The 22,585-nt window shown below is 42.6% G+C and overlaps 1 protein-coding gene across 27 annotated transcripts in view, besides 2 other annotated features; it reads left to right on the forward strand.

Moving 5' to 3' along the window:
* RAPGEF4 (Rap guanine nucleotide exchange factor 4) overlaps positions 1 to 22,585 on the forward strand; it is a 317,576-nt gene that overhangs the window by 169,894 nt on the left and 125,097 nt on the right. For 24 of the 27 annotated variants that reach the window (NR_164739.1, NR_164740.1, NR_164741.1 and 21 more), the window contains 2 exons: positions 12,591 to 12,663; positions 17,070 to 17,089. The exons of 1 other annotated variant lie outside the window; for it this stretch is intronic. Coding sequence is in view for 23 of the 26 variants with exons in the window: in NM_001375864.1 (NP_001362793.1) it covers positions 12,591 to 12,663; positions 17,070 to 17,089 (93 nt within the window). In the remaining 3 variants the exon portion in view is untranslated. The remainder of the gene's footprint in view (positions 1 to 12,590; positions 12,664 to 17,069; positions 17,090 to 22,585) is intronic. 2 more of the 27 variants (XM_047443028.1, XM_047443029.1) reach the window with 1 other exon arrangement.
* Positions 964 to 1,469: an enhancer, noted in NCBI's record as "H3K4me1 hESC enhancer chr2:173770903-173771408 (GRCh37/hg19 assembly coordinates)". NCBI's record gives its function as "activates a minimal SCP1, AML or CMV promoter by ChIP-STARR-seq in naive H9 embryonic stem cells {active_cell/tissue: H9 hESC(naive)}" and the evidence as "EXISTENCE:reporter gene assay evidence [ECO:0000049][PMID:30033119]".
* Positions 1,470 to 1,973: an enhancer, noted in NCBI's record as "H3K4me1 hESC enhancer chr2:173771409-173771912 (GRCh37/hg19 assembly coordinates)". NCBI's record gives its function as "activates a minimal SCP1, AML or CMV promoter by ChIP-STARR-seq in naive H9 embryonic stem cells {active_cell/tissue: H9 hESC(naive)}" and the evidence as "EXISTENCE:reporter gene assay evidence [ECO:0000049][PMID:30033119]".

Below are 22,585 nucleotides of genomic sequence, written 5' to 3' on the forward strand. Positions count from 1 at the left end.
TACTTTTTTTCCTTTCCGGCATCTAGCGTCATTGTGCGAATCCAGGTATTTGTACTGTCATGTGTTGGTAGCTGTCCTCACTAGCCTGCAAGGCCTGGGAGGGGTCCACCATAACTCCTCTGTCACCCCCCAGCAGGCATGCAGTCAATATTTGTTGACTGACTAAATGAGTGTGGATTTATTCTGCTGTTGCTGCAGGATTAATCTGACTGCCTTCTATGACTGAGACTTGGCTAAACTATTATTCTTCATAGGTAATAATTCTGCTTTCACTTGAGAGTACTTGAGGCTCCCTACATGTATGGGTCAGAATCTTGAACTGTCACAGGCCAGGAGGAGAGAGCATCTCTAACAGGGGGCTTTGTCCACAACTTTATCTGCTCGCTTGTAGTGTCATCCCAGTTGGGCTTTAGTCAGGGGCTCTTATGTGATTCAGGTTTGGAAAGCATCTTCTACTAGAGCTAAAGTTGTGATTCTTGCACTCCAGACCACTGCTCTCAGCAGGTTGGCCATGAATTAAAAATGGTCATAAATTGACAAGCAGAATTTTGCTTCCACGTAGAAATGTCTATAAAAGGGCCAAAGGATGTAATTAGGTATCACTGAAAGGGCTTCGAACTTATTTGTGCCCCATTATGCGGATGCTCTAGGAATCCAGGAACAAGGAAACAGAATAACTTGCCTTAAGAGGTCAACTCAGTCCAGCCAGTGATCTATTGTGGGAAAGGCAGTGCATGTGGCTTTAAACAGGTAAACAGAAAGCTTCTGCTTGCAGCCTTCCATTTATAACTGCTTTGCTTTTTGCCTTCTTATCTACCATGCATGGGTTTAAGAATTCTGTAGTACTCTGGGATTTTGGAGCCATGTGTTGTGTCCATTTTCATATCATCTAGAGGTTGTGAAAGAACTCTGGGCAAGAAACAGAAAAAAAGGGTCTAAACATTATGTCACTCTTCTAAGCTATTCTACTGTCTAATCATGAGGCTTTCAGAGAAAGTACAGATGACCTGTTCTTTGTCATGACAGTTTATGATCTCAGCTTTAGTATATTGGGAGAACCTAGTGGAACATAATGAATGGGACCTTATGATGAGACACATCCCCACATCCCCAGAACAGTCCTGTGTTATTCTTCCCCAATCCTGGACGCTGCCTCTCCTTATTCTGTCCCTATTCTGAGCACACCCCCACCCCAGGTGTTTGCAGCAATGCCTGTCAATTATCCCTGTGGCTTCCTGTTTTTAATGCTTTTCTGGTGCTGATTATCCCAGCCAAGGGGTTTCAGACATATCCCCAGGGAGCTTCTGATGCTTTCGCTACAGCCTGATGATAGCCCAGGAGGAGGGGGAAAGCAAGGGGACAGTTGTGGGAAGGGGTGTGCCCAAAGCTCAGGCAGCATCTGGGTGGGAATGTGGTAGCCGCTGGGTGCCAGCAGTTGCATGCCACTCTGGCCTGCCTGGTGGAGGCTCCTCCTTGGCAGTGGACAGCAGCTTGGAGAACACCCAGAAAAGGCCTCACAGAGTGCCAGGAAGGCCCTGACCTCCACAGTAGGGAGTCCTGCCTGCCAGGACCCTGTCTTCACTTGTCAGATGGCTCAGCTCAGTTCAAGCTGCCAGCCTTCCTTTCTTCTCTGCATCTTGCTTTGTAAACTGAGTCTCAGAAAGTGACATGCCTCTATAATGTCTCCTCCTTCAGGAGATGCCACCCAACTTTTGTATGCCAGCTCCTGGGCTACCTCTAGGCCATATGGAGACTTCGTGCACATTATAAAAAGGGGCTCCCTGCCCCAGGCAGGAGCAGCCCCAGGCCAGGGCTCAAGGCTTGTTCAGCAGAGCTGGGTTTATCCCCACCACCCCTTCCCCAGTCTGGTGGTTGCTCTGCCAGCCTTCCAGCCAGAATTCCTCAGTGCTCTTGATGGAGACAATTGATTGGCTGTGAGGTAGACCAGGTTTCAACCTTTCTAAGACTGTCATCTTTTGTTTCATATTAGAAAATATTAGTATAGTCTGTATACTAATATTGTATTTGTCAGTATAATAATACATTTGCAACTCAATCTGGGGACAGGCATCTGGCCTCACTGGCCTGAGGACTTCTGTCCCTTCCCATCCCTTCTTTCTGCCTTCCCTCTTCCCTCTATTCTGAGCCACAGGCACTTACTTTGCTCTAAAAACTGGCCAATTGTAATTGACAGGTTAATTTTTTTAAAGGAGTCTCTTAGTAACAAACAGCTCAGAGGGCAGAAAGGCTTTGCTTGTGTTTGTTAGGTTATTTCTGGGCTTTCTCTCTTGTGCTCTTCGTTTCTCCATCACTTTGGAACTTGTTGCTTTCTTGTTGAACTATTTTACCATGTGGGTGAAAAACAGGTGGTACATTATAAAATTATTTAAGAAAGTCTATTATTTAAATTCTTATTTTCCCACAGGTCCATTTAGCAGATGATCAGTAGGTGTGTTGTGGGTCATTGTATGCATATCAACAGCCTCAGTGATGTGAAGCTGTAATGCAGAAAATATTCTTTCTCAAAGCTGGAGACTATCTGGTTGGAAAATATCATCAAATATACTGGGGTTCACTTAATCCTTGGTTTATTGTTACAACTACCATTATTATTATTATTACTACTACTATCCAGAACCATTTACTAAGTGCCTGATATGTGCAGGGAACTGTTATAGATTTTATTTCTCATCCTCACAATGGTCCTGAAAGATGGTGCTGTTATCCCAGTTTCCTTACCCAAGAGACTGAGGTAAGTAACTGACCCACGTTCACACAAGTAGCATGTAGTGGAATCGGAATTAAGACCCCAGTCTTGTGTGATTTAAATGTCTGCACACTTTCCGTAACATCAGAGGTTCTTGGCTTTTTCCACTGAAGCTCCCAAATGCAGAGGAAATCAATACATAATGCCTGGGGTCTATACCCTTTGTAGCTAGAAGTAGCCAGCAGCCAGATCAGAATTTCTTTGAAGTCTCATGCTTTAATCTTTAAAATTTATGCAAATTTAGCTTTCTACTCCATAATATAAAAGTATAAAAATAATCCTTTAAACTACTTGACATAGAATAAAATTTGAGCTCCAGGAAGAGCTCCTGTTTATTCTTCTCACATCCCTTTCTGCTCTGCTGGGTCCCACACTGGGTGTCTGCACACCTCGGTTGTGAAGGTCAGCACTGCACTGTGATGCATCTCAGTTAAATTCTTACTACCAGTTTTTGTTGACAAACCTTTCCGTTAAGGTGAAAACTGTCACTTGGCCAAACCACAACCATAGAAGTCATCTTAACAGAGGGTAGAGTCCCTAACACTTCGTAGACAAATCCTAAATTGGTCTTTGTTGATGCTTCATGTAGATCTTTGAGTGACATCTTGTCTGGCTGGAAGTTTAGAGATGATCTAATCTTGTGGTTTGTAAACTCTTATTTTTTAGGATCCAAAGTCATTTTTCAAATGAAACTATTCTTGGAACTTTAATTTATGAAACAAAAAATAAAGACACTCTAGTGATCATTGGGGCTGAAGGCCATGCTTGTGTGGTGTGCCCTCGGCTGAGGGTACTCCAGGGAGTACAGATTCTACAGAATGGATCTAATTCAAAGCACTCATTTTACTGATGGGGAGACTGAAGCCAGAGAGCTTGAGGGACTTGTCTGCAATGACCCAACTGATTAGCAGTAAGGAGCCAAGCCGGCCAAGTGCTTCTAAGACCCTTGAAAGTCCTTGAGGTTTTCTTGTCATTTGAAGAATTGATTTCCTAACTGCCTTTAGAGGTCCTGGAGGGGTCCTGGAGGGTTTGGACAGGGAGTGTGCATGAGTCCTCCTGATAGGGGCCTCCCACGTGTATTAGCACCATGGCAGGGTGGCCTCAGTGTCAGGAGTGAGACTGGTGCCCTGGGCCTCAGAGACAGAACTCAATCCAGACTGGTGACCTGCTGCACAAGCCACCCACCTCTCGGAAGGGCCTTGTAGAAGCTTCTCTGGACATGAGCAGGATGCTCTGTAACAAAAGCCTGAGCCCTCCCAAGTGTTGCTTGAGGCATGCATCCTCAAGGCCACCACGCAAGAGTTTTGGAGTAACACTAGAGCTCACCATTCCCTTCTCCACCTCAAAGCACTGATTCAGTGTTCTACTCTGTTCTTCACCTGACTATTGATTTATCTCTGCTAACTCTCTATCATTGTAGGACTTGAGCCAAAGACATAGCTCTTTCCCAAGTGCATATAGCAATTTGAAAAACGACTGAGTGAGGTCATTGATGTTGTTAAGGTGTTAGAGTGTGTTGGGATCCAGGGAAAGGGTTTACAGGGGGAAGTGCACCAGGGCCCCAGAGAGGACATTGTCCAAGAGCTCAGCCAGGCCACCACACACCTCCACAGCCGGAGTGTGGAGGGCATGTGGGGGCCACATAAAGACCTGCTGAGTCACCTCGGAACCACTGCTGACCCCAGGTTTAAGCTGACTTGTGCTGACTTATATGTGCGGGCCTTATTGAGCACAGGCTTGGCAATCCCCTTAAGTTTCATTTTGATTTTCAGAGAACTTGAAGTGACTATTAAACTTCTATAAAGATATGAACTGCTTCACAACCTAGCATTACTGATATGGTCATCTCTCTTTTATTTTTTTCAATTCATCAGCTAAACACCAATAAGGCCTACTAGAAGACTGCCCAGTGTCTAACTCCCCAAATCCCTCTACCTCAGGAGGATTTTACAGCGGAAGGGAATTACCCCACCGCTGCATGGGATAATCAAAGAGAGAGGACTGTCTGCTCATGCCACTGTGGGCATGACCCTTGCTGCCAGGTGCCATGCGTGCTCTGTGATTTGGCTGCAGACCAGCCCCATCAGTCCAGCCCCTTGCCAGACAGACACATTGGGTGATTCCATGGCCTCAGTGTTTGCTCAGCAAAGAGCGCTTCAGGCTTGGGCTCCCAAAATTGTACCATTGGCTCTCATCTATTTTAGGCCACATAGACATGGTGCCATCTGGTTTAGCAGTTGTCACCTTGAAAACCTAGAATCCTTATGCCCCAATCCTCTCCAATAACCTCTAGACAGTTTCTCCATTGCACCCCATGAACACAAATAGTGTCTGCACACCACTTTGAGGGCTATAAACTCTACAGCTTCCCTGTTGAATGTGGCTCATTAACTTCCAAGGTGATCTTCCAGCCCTGCTTATTCATTGTAGAAGCCAGATCTTCCAATTGCATATATTTAGTCTCTACTATTCCTTTTATCTATTGTCTAACCAAACACACCAAATGTAGTGTCATGAAGCAACCACCATTCTATTATATGTATGGATTCCCTGAGGAATCTGAAAAGGGCACAAAGGGATGCCTTGCCCGTGCTCCACACTGTCTTGGCCTCAGCTGGGGAGACTTGAATGGCTGGAGTTGATCTGAGCACCTGGGGGCTGGAATCATTTGGAGGCTTCAGAGGCTGGCCTCAGTTGGACTGTGGAGCAGAGCACTTCGGTGTGGTCTCCCCATGCAGCTTAGCTTCTCACAGTGTGGCAGATGGCTGCTGAGAGGCAGCACCCCAGGAGAGAGCATTTCGAGACCAAGTGTTCCTGGAGACCAAGGAGAAGCTGCAAGGCTTCTTCTGACCTAACCTGGGAAGTCACACAGCATCACATCCGCTGCATCCTATTGGTTACAACAGAATCACACAGGTCAGCCCAAGTTCAAAAGGAGGGGAACTAGATGGTCCCTATTGATGAAGGAAAGAGAGCATCACCTTTCAGGAAAGCGTATGGGGTGAGAGATAGTGTTATATTCATCTTTAGAAAAGGCAGGCTGCCTCAGTCCACTGTCTGGCCACGACAGTTCACAACCCCTCCCACATCCGAAATGCACTCTGTCCTTTCTTGAGACTCCCAGAGTTGTTCCTGTTATGGCGTCAACTCAAAGTCCAGGATCCCATCAGCTAAATCAGATCTGGATGTGGATGAGGCACCTTGAATGCTGTTTCTTAGGTACAGTTCCCTGATGATGCTTCTTCTCAATCTCAGACCTATGAATGAAAGAGACAAGTTACGTGTCCCCCACACCCAGCAAACAATGGGTATAGGGGATAGGGAAACTGCAGCAGACATTCTCACTTAACACGGGGGAAAGGTTGGAATATGTGGCACATAAGTTACCAATCTGTAGCAATTCTGAAGTCCAGCTGGGCAAATGGCATCAGGTCCAATTCTAGTTTCCGGGAGTTGTTTTCTGTGGCTCCTGGCTTTTCTGCCTTTTTTGTTTTTTTGGAGACAGAGTCTCACTCCGTCACCTAGTCTGGAGTACAGTGGTGCAACCTCAGCTCACTGTAACCTCCACCTCCCGGGTTCAAGGGATTCTCCTGCCTCAGCCTCCCGAGTAGCTGGAATTATAGGCGTGTACCACCACACCCAGCTAATTTCTGTATTTTTAGTAGAGACGAGGTTTCACCATGTTGGCCAGGCAGGTCTCAAACTCCTGACCTCAAGTGATCTGCCTGCCTCGGCCTCCCAAAATGTTGGGATTACAGACATGAACCACTGTGCTAAGCCTTTTTTTTTTTTTTTTTTTTTTTTTCATAAGAGACAGGATTTTTGCTCTGTCACTCAGGCTAGAGTGCAGTGATCACAGCTCATTGTAGCCTGGAACTCCTGGGCCCATGTGATCCTCCCACCTCAGCCTCCCCAGTAGCCCGGATTACAGGTACACGCCACCAGGCCTGGCTAATATTTTAATTTGTTGTAGAGATGAGGTCTGGCTATGTTGCCCAGGCTGGTTTCGAACTCCTGGCCTCAAGCAATCCTCCCACCTCTGCCTCCCAAAGTGCTGGGATTACAGGTGTGGGCCACCACACCCAGTCTGATTCTGCCTTCTGGGTTTTTAGTTCTACCTTCTGAATCATGTTCTCTTTTCATAAAACATATTCTGTGTTGTAGCTGAGTAGTTCTCAGCCTGCTTCCTGCTCATAGAACTTGAAGGGTCCAAAGGATTCTTTTTATTAGTTACTGTCTCTGTTTCTTACAGTCCAGGATAGTGTAATTTGTTGAAAATCTTAATAGGTTTCTTATGTATCAATTTATCATCCATTTCATTAGACAAAACCATACCCATGTGCATCTTTGCATAAGCCTTTTCCTACTTTGAACCTTTTTGTGGTTACTGTGATATAGCATCCTTAAGATTCTTTTAAAAAGTCTTTTGCGTATCTAAAACAATCTGTGAAGCACCACCTTAAATCTTTCTGAAGTCTTAAAGCAGGGTTTTACAGTTGCACAGTTGGCCTCCTTACTCTGAGGCTTTGTTTTCCTGCCAATGCCCTATATTTGATCTTTGTCATGAGGCCCTTTCTAACTTTGAAAATATTTTATTGAGAGTGGTTAGAAATAGCTTTATTTTTGAACTCTGCAAGTCCTAGACCCTAATTTATATTTACTCTAAATTCTGAATACAAACTAAATGACTCCTTTGTTAGCTCATCTGTGTATGCACCTTAAAATATACAGCTAAGAGAAAGCAGCTGCCACGGGTATTTTTCCTAGAAGCCTCTTTGGCTAGATCCATCAGTTCCTCAGGGGCACTTTTCATTTTCCACATTCCTGCAGGCATCAGTTTTGCTCAACTTTCCACCACTGCAAAACAAGGGTGAGTGTGAGTGTCTTCCATCTTCCATTAATGCCTCCCTCACTCTTTTTTTTTTTTTTTTTTTTGAGATGGAGTGTTTGTCTGTCGCCCAGGATGGAGTGCAGTGGCACAATCTCGGCTCACTGCAACCTCCACCTCCCGGGTTCAAGCAATTCTCCTGCCTCAGCCTCTCAACTATCTGGGATTACAGGCGCCCACCACCATGCCTGGCTCATTTTTGTATTGTTAATAGAGATGGGGTTTCACCATGTTGGCCAAGCTGGTCTTGAACTCCTGACCTCAGGCGATCCACCTGCCTCAGACTCCCAAAGTGCTGGGATTACAGGTATGAGCCACTGCGCCCAGCCCTCACTCTTCTTTAAACTGTCATCAAATCTCCGCCAGCCCCATCAGGCTTCCTCCCAAAATTCATGCCACACATCTTAGGTTTTGTTGTACCACCACCTCACTTTCAGGTATCAAATTCTGCTTCAGTTATCTATTGCTGTGTAACAAACCATGCCAAACTTAACAGCATTTGCCAACCATCACTTCATTATGCTCACAGATTTCTGTGGGTCACAAATTTGAACAGGATGCTGTGGGGAATAACTTGTCTGGAGCCTCATCTGCGAATACTTGAATGACAAAAGTGACTTGAGTGGCTGGAGGTGACTTGGCTAGCTGGGAGCTAGAATTATCTGGAGGCGTCTTCACTCATGTGTTGGCTCCTGGGTTGGAATGACTCCAAGGCTGGAGTCAGCTGGGAGAGTTGACCAGAGCACTCATATATAAGCTCTTATTTTCTCTAACTCCTTCCTTTAAAATTTTTTTTGTTTTGATTGTTTGTATGGTTTTTTGTTTTGTTTGTTTGCTTGATGTCTTACTGGTAGAATCCTTTCTTCCATTTCATTTGAAATCTATTAGAGAGTTTAATAATACATGTAAAATAGAGAAGAACATCAACCGTTCTTGAGTCCCATGGAATAAAAGTCAAAAGTTCTAAAGAATGAATAGTGAAAACTAAGTCTCTCTCCTGCTTGACCCTCAGCCACCCAGATCTCTTTTCCAGAGACAATCCTGGTTACTACTTTCTTGTAGATAGCTACACATTTACAGATCTTTATGTATATTCACACACACAAACATCTTTTATTCCCACAAAATGGTATATACACCATGCTGTAGTTTGCTTTTTAAATTTAAAAGCAATAGATCATTCCATATCTGTATATAAGTAGTGCCGCTTCATTCTTTGTCATGGCGTCATACTATTCCAACAGCATCTATTTATCAAGAAATAACCCATCATCGTCTCAGAAAATAACCCAGTGTCCTCTACTAATGGACATTTGAGTAATTTCCTGTTTTGTTGTTGTTTGGTTTACTATTACATACAAGCACATGTGTTTGCATATGTATTCAGGTATTTCAGGAGACTCTGCATCTGCCCTCTGAGGGAGGTTCCTAGCTCAGTCAAAGGAAATATGCATTTTTTTTTTTTTTTTTTTTTTTTTTTTTTTTGGAGACAGAGTTTCACTCAGTTGCCCAGGTTGGAGTGCAATGGCACGATCTTGGTTCACTGCAACTTCCACCTTCTGGTTCAAGCGATTCTCCCGCCTCACCCTCCCAAGTAACTGGTATTACAAGCCTGAGCCACCACGCCCTGCCGGAAATATGCATTTTAAAATTTGATAGATCTAGTCACTGGCCACTGAATATGGAGGAAGAGAGGGAGGGAGGAAGGGAAGGAGGGAGGGAGGAAAGGAGAGAGGAAGAAAAGAGAAAGAGAGAGAAAGAGAAAGAAAGAAATATAGAAAGAAAGAAAGAGGGAGAAAGAAAAAGAAAAAGAATTACACAGATATTTCCAAATTGCCTGCCTCTGAGGTTGTATCATTTTACACTGCTATAAGCAATATATGAGATAACATGTTTGCTTCATTCTCACCAATAGTGTATTAGCAAACTTTTTGGAACTTTGCCAATTCTGACAGATTAAAAAATTATATTGCGCTGTAGTTTTTATGTGCCTTTCTGTTATGAGTGAGGTTCTGCATCTTTTCATATGGTATTTTCTTTTATGAACTGCTTTTTAAATTTGTGCTTGGAAGATGAAATGCTGCCCAAAGATCAAGCTATATGCAAATAATTTAGAAATCCCAATTTTCTGATACAGGTTTTATTCTAGTTAGCTGTTTTTATCCTAATTAATATAGAGCGTTCTGCAGGGTGCTACATAAGAATGAATCTCCCAGGTTTAGTGAATGTTTATTAAAAAGTGCCCCATCAATTTTAAGGACTGACTTTTAATTTACAAGTATAAATATTTCAACCCTAATTTGGTAATCTTCACTATACTAAAAGCTATTATGCTGGAACCCATGTTGTCTTATTAAATGAATTATTTTTAAATTCAATTCAGCAATGACATGAATGAAACAATTAGAAAGTTTGACCATCAACTGGATATTATGGATATATTACATTTTTTAGCTGTGATAATGGTATTGTGGTTTTATTTTGGGAAAAAGGAGTCTTTATCTTTTAGAAATTCCTGCTGAAATAATTATGGATTAAATGATATGATATCTGACCAGGCATGGTGGCTCAAGCCTGTAATCCCAGCACTTTGGGAGGCCGAGGCGGGTGGATTGCTTTGAGCTCAGAAGTTCGACACCAGCCTAGACAACATGACGAAACTCTGTTTCTCCAAAAAAAAAAATTAGCCAGGCATGGTGGTGTGTGTCTGTGGTCCTGTCCCAGCTACTCTGGAGGCTGAGGCTGGAGAATTGCTTGAACTGGGAAGGCAGAGGTTGCAGTGAGCCGAGATTGCTCGACTGCACTCCAGCCTGGGCAACAGAGTGAGACCCTGTCTCAAAAAAAAAAAAAAAAAGATATCTGAGTTTTGCTTCAAAATAATTCTAGAAGGGGTAAGTGGATAAATGTGTAGATGAAATAGTATTGGTCATGAGTTAATAATTATTGAAGTTGAATGTGGAGTATGTGGTATTCTATTTCTGTATCTGTTGAAATTTTCTAGAAAAATTTAGAGAGTCAACAGATAAGTACTAAGTTTGTATTATGTGCAAGACATAGTTCCCTGTGTTGAAGAAAATGGACATTTCACAAGTGCACAGGACCTTGTTTACTTGTTCTGTACTGTAAGCCCATCCTGAGACACTGTACATAGTAGATGCTCAATATGCACAAGTCCTGGAATCCAGCCCACACACTCCTGCCCACAGGGCTGCTCTAGTTTCTGTTCCCACTAGCAGCGACCCTGATGGTGTGCTCCACAAGACAGCAACAGACCAGGTGCTATGGGGCTTGAAGGAAGATGAAGTCCCATTCATTCAGGGATCAGGAAGGTGCTTCCGTGGAGCTCATGGGGATTGACATTAAGGTGCCTGAGACAAAGAACACCCGTCACATCCAAGACAATATTTCTAAGCAAAGTGAAATGGCCCCTTCAATTTAACAGGAAGTATTTCTTTTAGGAGCCTGTTAGGGAGTTGATAATGGTAATCAGGAGTCACAAAACCTTACAACATAACCAGTCCTCCTCTGCTCTCTCTGGGCCTGTTTTGTTTACAGTCCAGCATAATATGAAGCCCAGAAATGTGCTGCTTAGTGAATGCTGTCTCATGAAGAAGAAGAAGAGTAGATGGTGTCTCATAAGAAAGAAGAGAATCAGAATTAAGAAATGATCTAAGGAAATATCAGGAATGCAGGGTGATATATTGGTCCTGTGGGTATGTCTGAGTGATCACTTAGCTCAGAGGCTGAGGAAATCATGGTTTTAATGTTTGCATGCAGGTGTTGGTATAGTTGCCTCAGAATGAGAAGAAAAAAAGAATTTTTAAAAAGCTAGTTACATCTTGACTAGAAGAAGGCTCTTTTGAGAAAGCATCAATGTCACATTACAAACGCCATTCAAATCTACCAAATGGGCCAGATGGTTGCCCCAATACTGCGTGCTGCCAGCTGCCCATTGCTACAGATGAAGTCTTTTCTGCTGACGTTTGTGCAACCCACAAGCACACTATGGAGTGTTGATTCTTTTGATGCTATTTAACATGTATGTGTCATCGTAATTATAAACCATAAATATACATGACACCATGCAATAAATAAAATTGCCCAGCTTCCATTCTGAAAGGGGAGGAGATTGTATTTATGACCTGAGAAGAGAGGGTGGCTAATATTCATTTTCCATTCTTTATAAATGTCACTCCTCTCTAGTTGGATGCTCTAGATGGCTTTATTCTCACCAAGCCTTATCCCTCCTAAACAGCACAGACTCCTGGGGCTAATACCTTATGCTAAGTGCCAGGTTTTAGAGCAAGCTTGGACCAAAAGTCAGGCAGTTACAATTCAGGGGAATCCAAATAGTTCTAAATTAAGCTAAACTATTTTATTTGACACATAGCAAAAGTTCTTTGGAGGTCACATAAACAGGCAGGTGTACGATGTAAAAGGAAGTAGGTAAATGGAAGCGAATCAGCTTCTTTCAAAAAAGACATTTTTCTCAAGATGCGTTTCTTTTTGCTTTGAAAGAAGCTGATTCAGTGCCATTCACCTATTAAGTAGGCAGCACATTTATTTGTATCTGCATCTATAAAGCTCGAGTGCCTTTTCCCTCTACAAAAAGCTGAGCTTGTGTTTGTGGGGTTGGGGAGGGGTGCAGGGGGTGCTAAATATCCCACACAATTCAGGCAGCCACAGATATATAAATGAACTGGCGGAGATAGAACCCCTGCCCCCGGGCACATTCAGTCTTATTCAGGAAGACCTGTTTAGAACACAACATCTTTATTTCAGACCAGAGACCCCGGAGAACACGTTTCATGGCTCTATAAATACAAGGCTCAGATGCTTCCTGACACCCAGCATTTCTGCTTTTTAACATGTAAATAAATGAATGCTCAAAGCAAGTAAATATCTGTGTGTTGAGTTTACAATCTTGTCTTTCAGAAATATCGACAGTATATGGCAGGACTTCTGGCTCCTCCTTATGGTGTTATGGAAACGGGCTCTAACAATGACAGTAAGTGGAAAATGTGAACATTTTGTATCTAAAAATTTGTCGTGTGGTATGTGTTTTCATGTGACAAAAAATATGTCCTACACCAGCTTGTCAGAGTAAGTCTCCAGACTCTTTTGTGGATAAACAAACCTGCCAGCTCACACTGGAGATATTTTTAAAGAAATGGTTAATATAGTATTAGTCTGTGGTCTTAGCTGATAGAGAGAGGTATGCTCTGGTGCCAGCTGGAACTTTGGCATGCATAGAATACTTTCCCAAAATATCTTCATCTTATAGTGAAATCCAGTGTTCTTTCTGTGCCCTTTTAAAGAAGGGATGCACGAACTGTATTTGTTTCAGTCCCATCTGGATACCTGAGAGCCCCACCTCTTGCTTTTTTTTTTTTTTTTTTTTTTACTCTATTGATGAAGAGGAGAAGTGGGGTGAGTCATTTATTTAATCTTCTAAATCATGGCCTCTTCCAATTCCAGGCCTTTGTGAACTTTAGATGCTCTTACCACACACACACACACACACACACACACACACACACACACAAAGTGACTATGGAAGGTGACAGATAGGTTAATTTGCTTAACTGGAGTAGTCATTTCACTAGGTATATGTATATCAAAACAATGTGTTGTACATATTAAATATTTTTAATTTAAAACATCCAGGCCTTTTATGAGAGACCAGTCTCTGGCTGGTCAGCAAAGAAACGAAGTTTTTCTCTGTGGTATTCTTCTCTAGTGGGTCCCCACTAAACTCAAAGAAACCCGTATGTCCCCTGAGTCTTTTGATCTGTTCATGCATGTCGGAAACATGGTTAGCGTTCGTTACCATTGCATCTGTGAGTCTCCTTATGAAGCTCTTGTGTGTACACATATAACAAGATTCCAGGTCCTGGAGTCTTTGGAGCTATAGTGCTTCAGCCAGCAGACCCAGTGATGCAGCAGGTAGTCCCTGCATCTTCAGAGCCACAGCCAGCCACCCTTCAGATCCTCTTCCTGGATCCTAGAATTCCCACCCTCCCTCGCTGACCAGTCACTCACTGCAAGAGATCTCTCTCCCTGCTTGACCGCAATCCTGAGTGAACATCCTCATTTTCCTCCCCGCATTTCACTATTTCTATGCAGCCTCTGCCCTGTCTCCCCATTTGCCTTCTGCTTTCCTGCAGAGGAGGAGGGTGGGAGGGACAGGTTCATCCTTCCTTTCCTCTCTTGTTCTTGCTTTCTTTCTCTCCTGGCTGAGCCAGGGATGGCTGGCTAATTAAAGCACCTGAGTTGCAATCCCAGCAATGCTGTCTTCTAGCTGACATCTGGCAAGGCACGTAGTCTCTCTGTGCCTTGGTTTCCTCAGAGGGTTGTTGTGAAGATCAAGTGAATCAAAGTATGTTGTTTCAAAGGGTGCCAGGCATGTAAAAAGCTCCCAAATGGCATAGGCTATTTCCTCACCTCCAGTCACTCTTCGACCCCTCAAAGTCTGGATTTTGCCCCATACTTCTTGAATAAACCACTCTAAAGTTACCAGTGACCAACCAATAACCAGACCTGATCATTCCCGTTGCCCACGTCCAGACTCCATTCCGCCTTGGCTCCCGGGGCACCACTGTGTTATCCTGGCTTCCTCCTCTCTCTCTGGCCACTCACATTTTGGTCTCTTCCATAGGTACTTCTTCCCCCGCTTATGGAAGAGTTTAGCCATGGCTTCTTTTCTCTTTCCTTCTCCATACTCACTCTCCCCTCTTCCATGGCATCCTTTCCTGCAACTGATACAAACACTTCCCAAACCAACACCTCTGTTTGATCCTTCCAGGGGCAGCCTAAGTTTCCAGGTGACCTCAGGTTCTTTTTCTACCTGGTTGTCCTGCTGGCCTCTCAAGCTCAAAATGTTGATAAGGGAACACATTCTGATTCCCGCAAAACCAGCCCCTCCTCTGGAGAGGCCGGTTTCTGACAATTCCATTGTTCTCCTCTTGTGCTGGGCTCCAAACCTCAGCCATTTTGGACTCCTCCTTTCTCTCGCCATCACCCCTGCTTGCCCGGGCCCAGCGCCCTTCCTTTGCATGTTCACAGTCTTCCTTTCAGTTCCCTCTGCAGCCACCTGGCCTTGGGCCTCATCTCTTTGGATTTTAGGGCAGAGATGAGTCAACTGGCTGTGAACCTTCACTATCTCACCCTTGGTCTAGTCTAGGCCTGATTTCCCCAAGACATTTTTTACTTTTTATTATGAAAAATTTCAAACATACAGAAAGTGGAGAGAATGATACAGTTAACACCCTTATTTTCATCACTTTCATTTAACTGATGTCAATAGTTTAATACTTCAATATATTTCTTAGTAGTAAATTAATATGCATTTTAATATTATTTTTGACATTTTTTTTCTTCTAATCACAATCACATATACACGTCACTCCAAATATGTCACCAGGCATTTTTGAAAATAAGGACTTTTTCATGTGTAACCAGAGCACCACAATCACACCTAATAGCTGGCATGATTTTCCTTAGTAACATCCGCCACCCAATCCATATTCAAATGTTCCCAACCGAATGTCTTTATTGCTGATTGCTCAAACTGGACTTCAGTCAAGGGCCATGCTATGGTCATCTGGTGTTATGTCTTAAACGTCTTTTAATGTTAGACAGTCTCCTTCCCTCCTTTCTCCTGATCATATCACTCTGCTGCTTGAAACCTTTCAATGATCATCCATTGCCTGCCATGGAAGGTGAAATTCCAAGACTATTAATGTCTTAGCCCAACTGTCAAGTTCCTGTGTGGCCTCAAATCACCTTTTCAGTGTCATTTCTCTACAGATACCCTAATTTCCAGCTACTCATATATGGTGATTTGTGCAACTGTGTATTTATCTTATTGAACCTGCTAGAAAGTAAGCTTCTGTTATATCCCATAACCTCATACAATCAACCCTAGTTCTTTCAGATGGATGATGGATGGGTGGATGGATGAATGGATGATTTGGGATGAGCTTCAGAGTGCTGACCTGAGGCCATCCTTCCTCTTTCTGACAGACCTGGGAAGTGATAGCGAGCCTGTTAATACTCTCTGTTTCAGAGAATAGCTCTTCTCTGCCTCTTTTCTGACTGCGTTTTTATGTCTTGTGTGGTCCCAGGTGTGGATCAAAGCTTCAATTAGGGAATGTTTCCAAAGTCTCTTTCATCCTCACCCCTCCTGCATTCTGTACTACTGCCTACTAGGATGAGCACTCAGGTTTTTTGCTTTTTTGTTTTTGTCTTTGTTTTGTTTTTTTTTTAGTCAGGGTCTCACTCTGTCACCCAGGCTGGAGTGCAGTGACATGATCATTGCTCACTATAGCCTTAACCAAACCTGGTTCAGGCGGTCCTCCCAAGTAGCTACAGGCATGCACCACCATGCCCAGCTAGTTTTTTGTGGAGACAGGCTTCACCATGTCGGCCAGGCTGCTCTCGAGCTCCTGGGCTCAAGAGATCCACCTGCTTCAGCCTCCCAAAGTTCTGGGACTACAGGTGTGAGCCACTGCATCCAGCTAGCACTCAGTTCTTTTAATGCTGATACTGTAAATCCTGTGTAGCTCCTTGTGTAAAAACAAAATGTCCTGTTTACTCAGAATTTGGATTATTGTATTTTTTTGTTGCAAACCACCTCATACTGCTCCACTAGTTTGAAGATAGGTGCAAACCACATGTAAAAATGACCTATGCTTCTGTCTCCTCTGTATAAGGTCACAGAACCTCCCAGTGTGGCCACCCTTACCAGGGGAGAAGCCTGAAGGAGGTAAAAAGGAATAGGACTGCCTGTAGTAGATACTCATGAAATGTTTGTAAATCAATGACAAATGAGCAAATGGATGAGTCATTAGCCTTCTAGCTCGGAACACTGAGATACCCCTGGAAACAGCCTCTGCTGTGCTCAGACTTGGCTTGGAGATAGCAGGAATTTGCTTTGCTCACAATGGAAGTTGTTTTCCAATGTCTTTCATGTGCTACTTGCCCCAGCTTCAAATCACTAGAGCCGAGTGGAGTGGTTTGCAAAGTAAAATCACAGCATGTGAAACTTAGGAGTTAATGTGCCTTTCCAAAATTCCGAGTGTTCTGGTGCCTAAATCAGTGGAATTAGTTGTTTTCATGGTGAGAATGAATCAGTGATGGGTATTTACCTCTGTGAAAGTAAACCATATGGTAGACGCAAAATAAGCCTGGGTTTTGGTGTCTGGGCACATGGCCCTGCTCCTGATTCATTGATTTATTTAAGCAGCATTATATAAGTTTTTATATTTCTAAGCAGCATTATGTAAGTTTTCACGGAAATGCAAATTGAAAACACTGAAATTTTACTTGGTTTGGTTCAGCAAAATTTCAATTCCACTTTACCGGTTGATTATACAATTCATGGCCTCTCTCTGTCTCTTTTTCCTCCTTTAGGGATTCCTGACAAGGAGAACGTGAGTAGCTACTCTCTCTGCCTATCTTCTAAAAATTGTTATAAGGTAAAAAATAATCATGGTAACCCTACCAACAAAGAGAGCTCTTGACCCACATTCAACAGAGCAATAAATATTTTTCTAATCTCATTCTGGCATCTTTGGCAAGTCACTTTGAAATAGAAAGGGGAGAAGGTTGATTGCTCTGACATGGTCGTCACGTGTCCCTGATTTTAACCAGTCTGAAGAAAGGTTATTCTAGGGGCAAATGCTACAATTGCTAAGTGTTTTCTTTTTCTGATGATGCATACATGGCAGTCAAACAAATCATTAGCCTAATAGCATATAGAAAACTAGTTGTTTTTCCTTAGCAGGAATACAAACTATGAAATTCAGGGTCAGTTGATGAATTTGTCTAATTATATACAAGTGCACTAGTGTTAACATTTCTCTTTGGAAACTGAAAATGATTAATTGCTATAATTGTTTCTGTAAAACTGTATTCTTTCTGTAAAAGAGTAGAAGGTTTAGGACAAAGATTTCACCAAGAAATAGCAAGCATTCCAAGAGTGGTCATGGTTTAGTGGCATACCTTTGCATGCAAATAATAATAGTATTCATTCTATTAACTAACATCTAAATTTAGACAACAACATGGAAGGGTTAACGATAGGAGTATGCAGTGATTGATTGGGAGCAGTGCTTGGTTGGCTTTCAGATGTGTCACCTTATAATTGTGTCCTTTGATTGCTGTATCCAAGTGGCAACGTTACAGGATTGTCACCTTTGCCTTTCTCTGCTTTCGGTCCCATGTCTGTGGGAAGATATACTCTCTGAATTCAATTTAGATTATTTCCATATCCGTTCTCAGATATCAGTCTCTGGCTTGCTTTAGCTCTTCCTCTTTTCATAGTATTAGTTTTAAAAGGACTGGTTGGGAATTCTAGCCCACTGCTATAGGACTACAAACTTGGGAGGTGGGGGTTGATTTTGGTTTTTGTTTTTTTGTGATGGAGTCTCACTCTGCCACCCAGGCTGGAGTGCAGTGGTGCAATCTCAGCTCACTGCAACCTCTGCCTCCCGGATTCAAGTGATTCTCCTGCCTCAGCCTGCCGAATAGCTGGGATTACAGGCATGCACCACCACACCCAGCCAATTTTTTATTTTTAGTAGAGATGGGGTTTTACCATGTTGGCCAGGCTGGTCTCGAACTCCTGACCTCAAGTGATCCATCAGCCTGGGCCTCCCAAAGTGCTGGGATTACAGGCATGAGCCACCACACCTGGCCAGACTTGGGTTTAAGACCTAGCAGTGTCACTTCAAATGTTACACCAAAATTTACTTCGCTTGGTCTGGCAAAGGTTTCAGTTCCTAGCTGTGTGGTCTTGCCCAAGCTACTTGATTTGTCTAAACATCCTCATCTCTTCTTTAAAATGTGGATGTTACCTTAAAAGGAAATTATGAATATTGAATGAGATAATCTGTGGAGAAAGCACAGACAAGTAGAGTAGGTAGGCTCAGTAAACATTGGGGCTATTAATGTGGTTAGTATTTTCTCAAGTCTTGTATCATTTTCTAGCTACTCTTCACCTCTGAAAAATGTCCTACCCTTTAATAAATTAACTGTCCTTTTGCCTTTTATGGCTGCCCCTTCTTCAGTGAACCTTGCTATTGATATTTAAAAAACTTTAAAAAAAATCTTTGTATGTTGAGTCAAGCTCTAGAAAATCAGGCTCATAAAGATTCTAAAGGAACAAACTGATCTTGCCACCATTTTGGACATGGATGTCCCAAATTATCCATCCTACAACAAATAATACACAAATCATTTGCCAAATAAAGAAGACAGAAAGGCCTTGTCCTTCCTCATCAACAGACTATCAGTGATGTGGGGAGCTCACACAGAATGTCCAAGCCCTGGGAGGGCTGAAATGTTCTAGGCTCCAAAAGGAAGTGGTCGCTCTTGGGCACCCAGTGACCTTTAGGTGGGATCCCCCTGCAGTGGAACAACAGGCACAGGGCTCTAAGCAGAGGGCTAACAGCTGTCATCATGTAGCTCACTTTGTGACAAAATAGGAATTTAAAGTTTGCAGAACAATGAGCTCGTCAGATACAATGAACTGTTAGCATGTTGTTCTGAAAGATCTGGGGAACTGGCCAGGCCATCTCCCTAATACTAGTAGTAGTATATATTTATTTGTATTTGTCTAGGCTATTGTAGGTCAGATTCTATAGCAAACAGAGAACCACACTTTAATTCTCTATTAGCAAATAGAGTAGATGTATCATCACCATGTGTTATTAGGAAAGCTCTCCAATGCCATCAGTCAAAGTACAGCAAATGAAATGAAAGACATTCGTGAGCAAAGTTGAAGCGCTAGAAAGATAAAAAGAAGCTTAAGAGCCTTAAAGTGGTGTTAATTGAAAATGTTTATTTCGTAGGAGACAAGTTGTATTATGATGATTTCTTTTATCCTTCAGCTTCTTTAACTACATGCTGGGCAATATTATATTCCCCTTATGTTTCAAAATAACAATAATATGCCTGTGGACTGAAATAAAAACATTTAGACTATTGTTTCAGTGTCCAAACAGATTATTTGTAGAAAAAAAAAATTCTCCTTCCCAGCTTCTCATCATTTTGTTAATCACCATGTTTAACTGTTTTGTTTTTGTTTTTGTTTTTGAGACAGAGTCTCATTCTGTTGCCCAGGCTGGAGTGCAGTGGCATGATCTTGGCTCACTGCAAGCTCCGCAGTGGCATGATCTCAGCTCACTGCAAGCTCCGCCTCCCGGCTCACGCCATTCTCCTGCCTCAGCCTCCTGAGTAGCTGGGACTACAGGCACCCACCACCATGCCTGGCTAATTTTTTCTATTTTTAGTAGAGACAGGGTTTCATGATGTTAGCCAGGATGGTCTTGATCTCCTGACCTCATGATCCGCCCGCCTCGGCCTTCCAAAGTGATGAGATTACGGGTGTGAGCCACCACACCCAGCCACCATGTTTAACTTTTAATAAAATATGCACACATCAACAAGTGCTGTTTGTGGCTGCCTTGCCAGCTACATTTTATTCTCAGACTCAGGCTTACCTTGCACAAAAATAAATTCCTTTTCATATATTGCACCTTTGTAGGAATAAATGGATGGGCAGCTACTTGCTGGATTATTTTGTCTACTATTTATTATAATTGATGGAGACATCATTTAATGTGAGATAATACAGGATGCTGGAACCTACAAAATATCAAGAAAAATGTTAGAAAAACAACCACGCAGCCAGGACACATAGTGAGACTCTGTCTGTACACACACACACACACACACACACACACACGCTGAATGTGGTGGTGCACACCTGTAGTCCCAGGAAGATCAGTTGAGCCTGGGAAGTTGAGGCTACAGTGAGCCATAATTGTATCACTAGACAATCTATCCTGGGCAACCGAGTGAGAAGAAAGAGAAAGAGAGAAAGAGAGAAAGGAAGAAAGAAAGAAAGAGAGAGAGAGAGAGAGAGAAAGAAAGAAAGAGAGAGAGAAAGAAAGAAAGGAAAGAAGGAAGGAAGGAAGGGAAGGAAAGAAAAGAGAGAGAAGGAGAAAGAAAAGAAAGGAAAGAAAGAAGAAAGAGAGAAAGAAAGAGTAAAAAAGAAAGAGGAGGGAGGGAAGGAAGGAGGGGGAGGGGGAGGGGGGACAGAGGGAGGGAAGGGAGGAAGGAAGGAAGGGAAAGAAAGGACGGAGGGAGGGAGGGAGGGACGGAGGGAGGGAGGGAGGGAGGGAGGGAGGGAAGTCAGGCAGGCAGACAGGAAGGAAAGAAGGAAAGAAGGAAGGAAGCAAAACCTTGGAGCCAATAAAGCAAGTTGATTATTTTGATAGGGTTGTGATTGTTAAAGGAATTCTCTTTGATCTATTAAAGTTGTATTTGTTTCTGTCTTTTATATGTGCTATACCTGACTGACTATGTTTAACACTGAAGTTAAAAATCACAATGATAAGAAAGCTTGAATGTTGAATGCTGAATGTTACAGTTGCCCTTTGGAATAATGACCCTGTCTTTAATTTTTGGCTACTTATGCAGATTGTGTTGCTTATTGTGCTCCATACTTCTGAAAGGGCAACTGCTATGGGGTTTCCTAGTTTTAGAAGGTAATACTTTACTTTAGTGTGGAAGGAGCTGGAGAAGTAGACTCACGGAGATATTACAACATAATCTCATTTCCTAATTTATAAACATCTTGTTTCCCAGAGGATCATCTGGGGTCCTCATTTTTTGTGAGTTTTTTGTTTGTTTATTTGTTTGTTTGTTTGTTTTTCAAGATGGAGTCTCGCTCTGTCACCAGGCTGGAGTGCAGTGGTGCAATCTCAGCTCACTGCAACCTCTGCTTCCTGGGTTCAAGTGACTCTCCTGCCTTAGCCTTCTGAGTAGCTGGGACTACAGGCGCGTGCCACCATACCCAGCTAATTTTTGTATTTTTAGTAGAGACAAGGTTTCACCATGTTGGTCAGGATGGTCTCGATCTCTTGACCTTGTGATCTGCCCGACTCAGCCTCTCAAAGTGCTGGGATTACAAGTGTGAGCTACCGCGCCCAGCCCGAGGTCCTCATTTTTTAGGCAGTTATAGTATTGATAGTATGATTAATAAGCTTTTTGCTAAATACTGAAGAATGCTTTCTCGCTATAAATCACCATCAATGTGGAGCTCAAAGTTGTTTCCCAAGTGCTAGAAGAATTCCTGCTAGTAATTAGTAATGACCCAGCCTGGAGATCATCTCAAACCACTTGGCAAGTCTCATCTTAAGGAGATTACTTAAAGCAGGAGTTTCTCAAACTTTAAAAACTATGGGTCATTTATATGAAGAATAAGTTTTAGAAATTATTATAAAGATGTAAGGTTTCAAATGGCAACTAGTAAGGAAATAAGTTTCACAGTTTGTGGAAATTCTCATTAAGGGAAGGGCAGTAGAATAATAAGAACCTTTTGACTGTGAGGGTCAAAAGGTTAGGAATTTGGGGAATTTTTAGGGAATACAATAACATTTATTTAACTTTATTGTTGCTCTTTTTTAAGGTTAGAGAGAACAAATTAGAATATTTTCCACCTATTATATGACAACATTTTATCACTACAGACTGGCTAAGACAATGAAATTCTGGGCCAGATAAAGAAATAAGAAATTATGTATCCTCATACAAACTTAAAACATTAAAAATTCAGATAATTGATGGCTCATGCCAGTAATCCTAACTACTTGAGAGGCTGAGGCAAAAGGATTGCTTAAGCCCAGGAGTTGAGGCTACAGTGAGCCAGGATCGTACCACTGCACTCCAGCCTGGGTGACAGAGTGAGACCTTGTCTCTAAAAAAAAAAGAAAAAAACCAACAATCAGAGATAATTCCATAAGGCTGTATAAACCCTTTCAACTCCACCTTTCGAGGACCAACTGAATTCAAACTGTTTTCTGTGGAACACAGTTTTTAAAACCCTGCTTTACATGATTGATCCAGGCTGAACCTATGAA

This window comes from Homo sapiens, chromosome 2 (assembly GCF_000001405.40).
Source record: "Homo sapiens chromosome 2, GRCh38.p14 Primary Assembly".
NCBI lineage: Eukaryota > Metazoa > Chordata > Mammalia > Primates > Hominidae > Homo > Homo sapiens.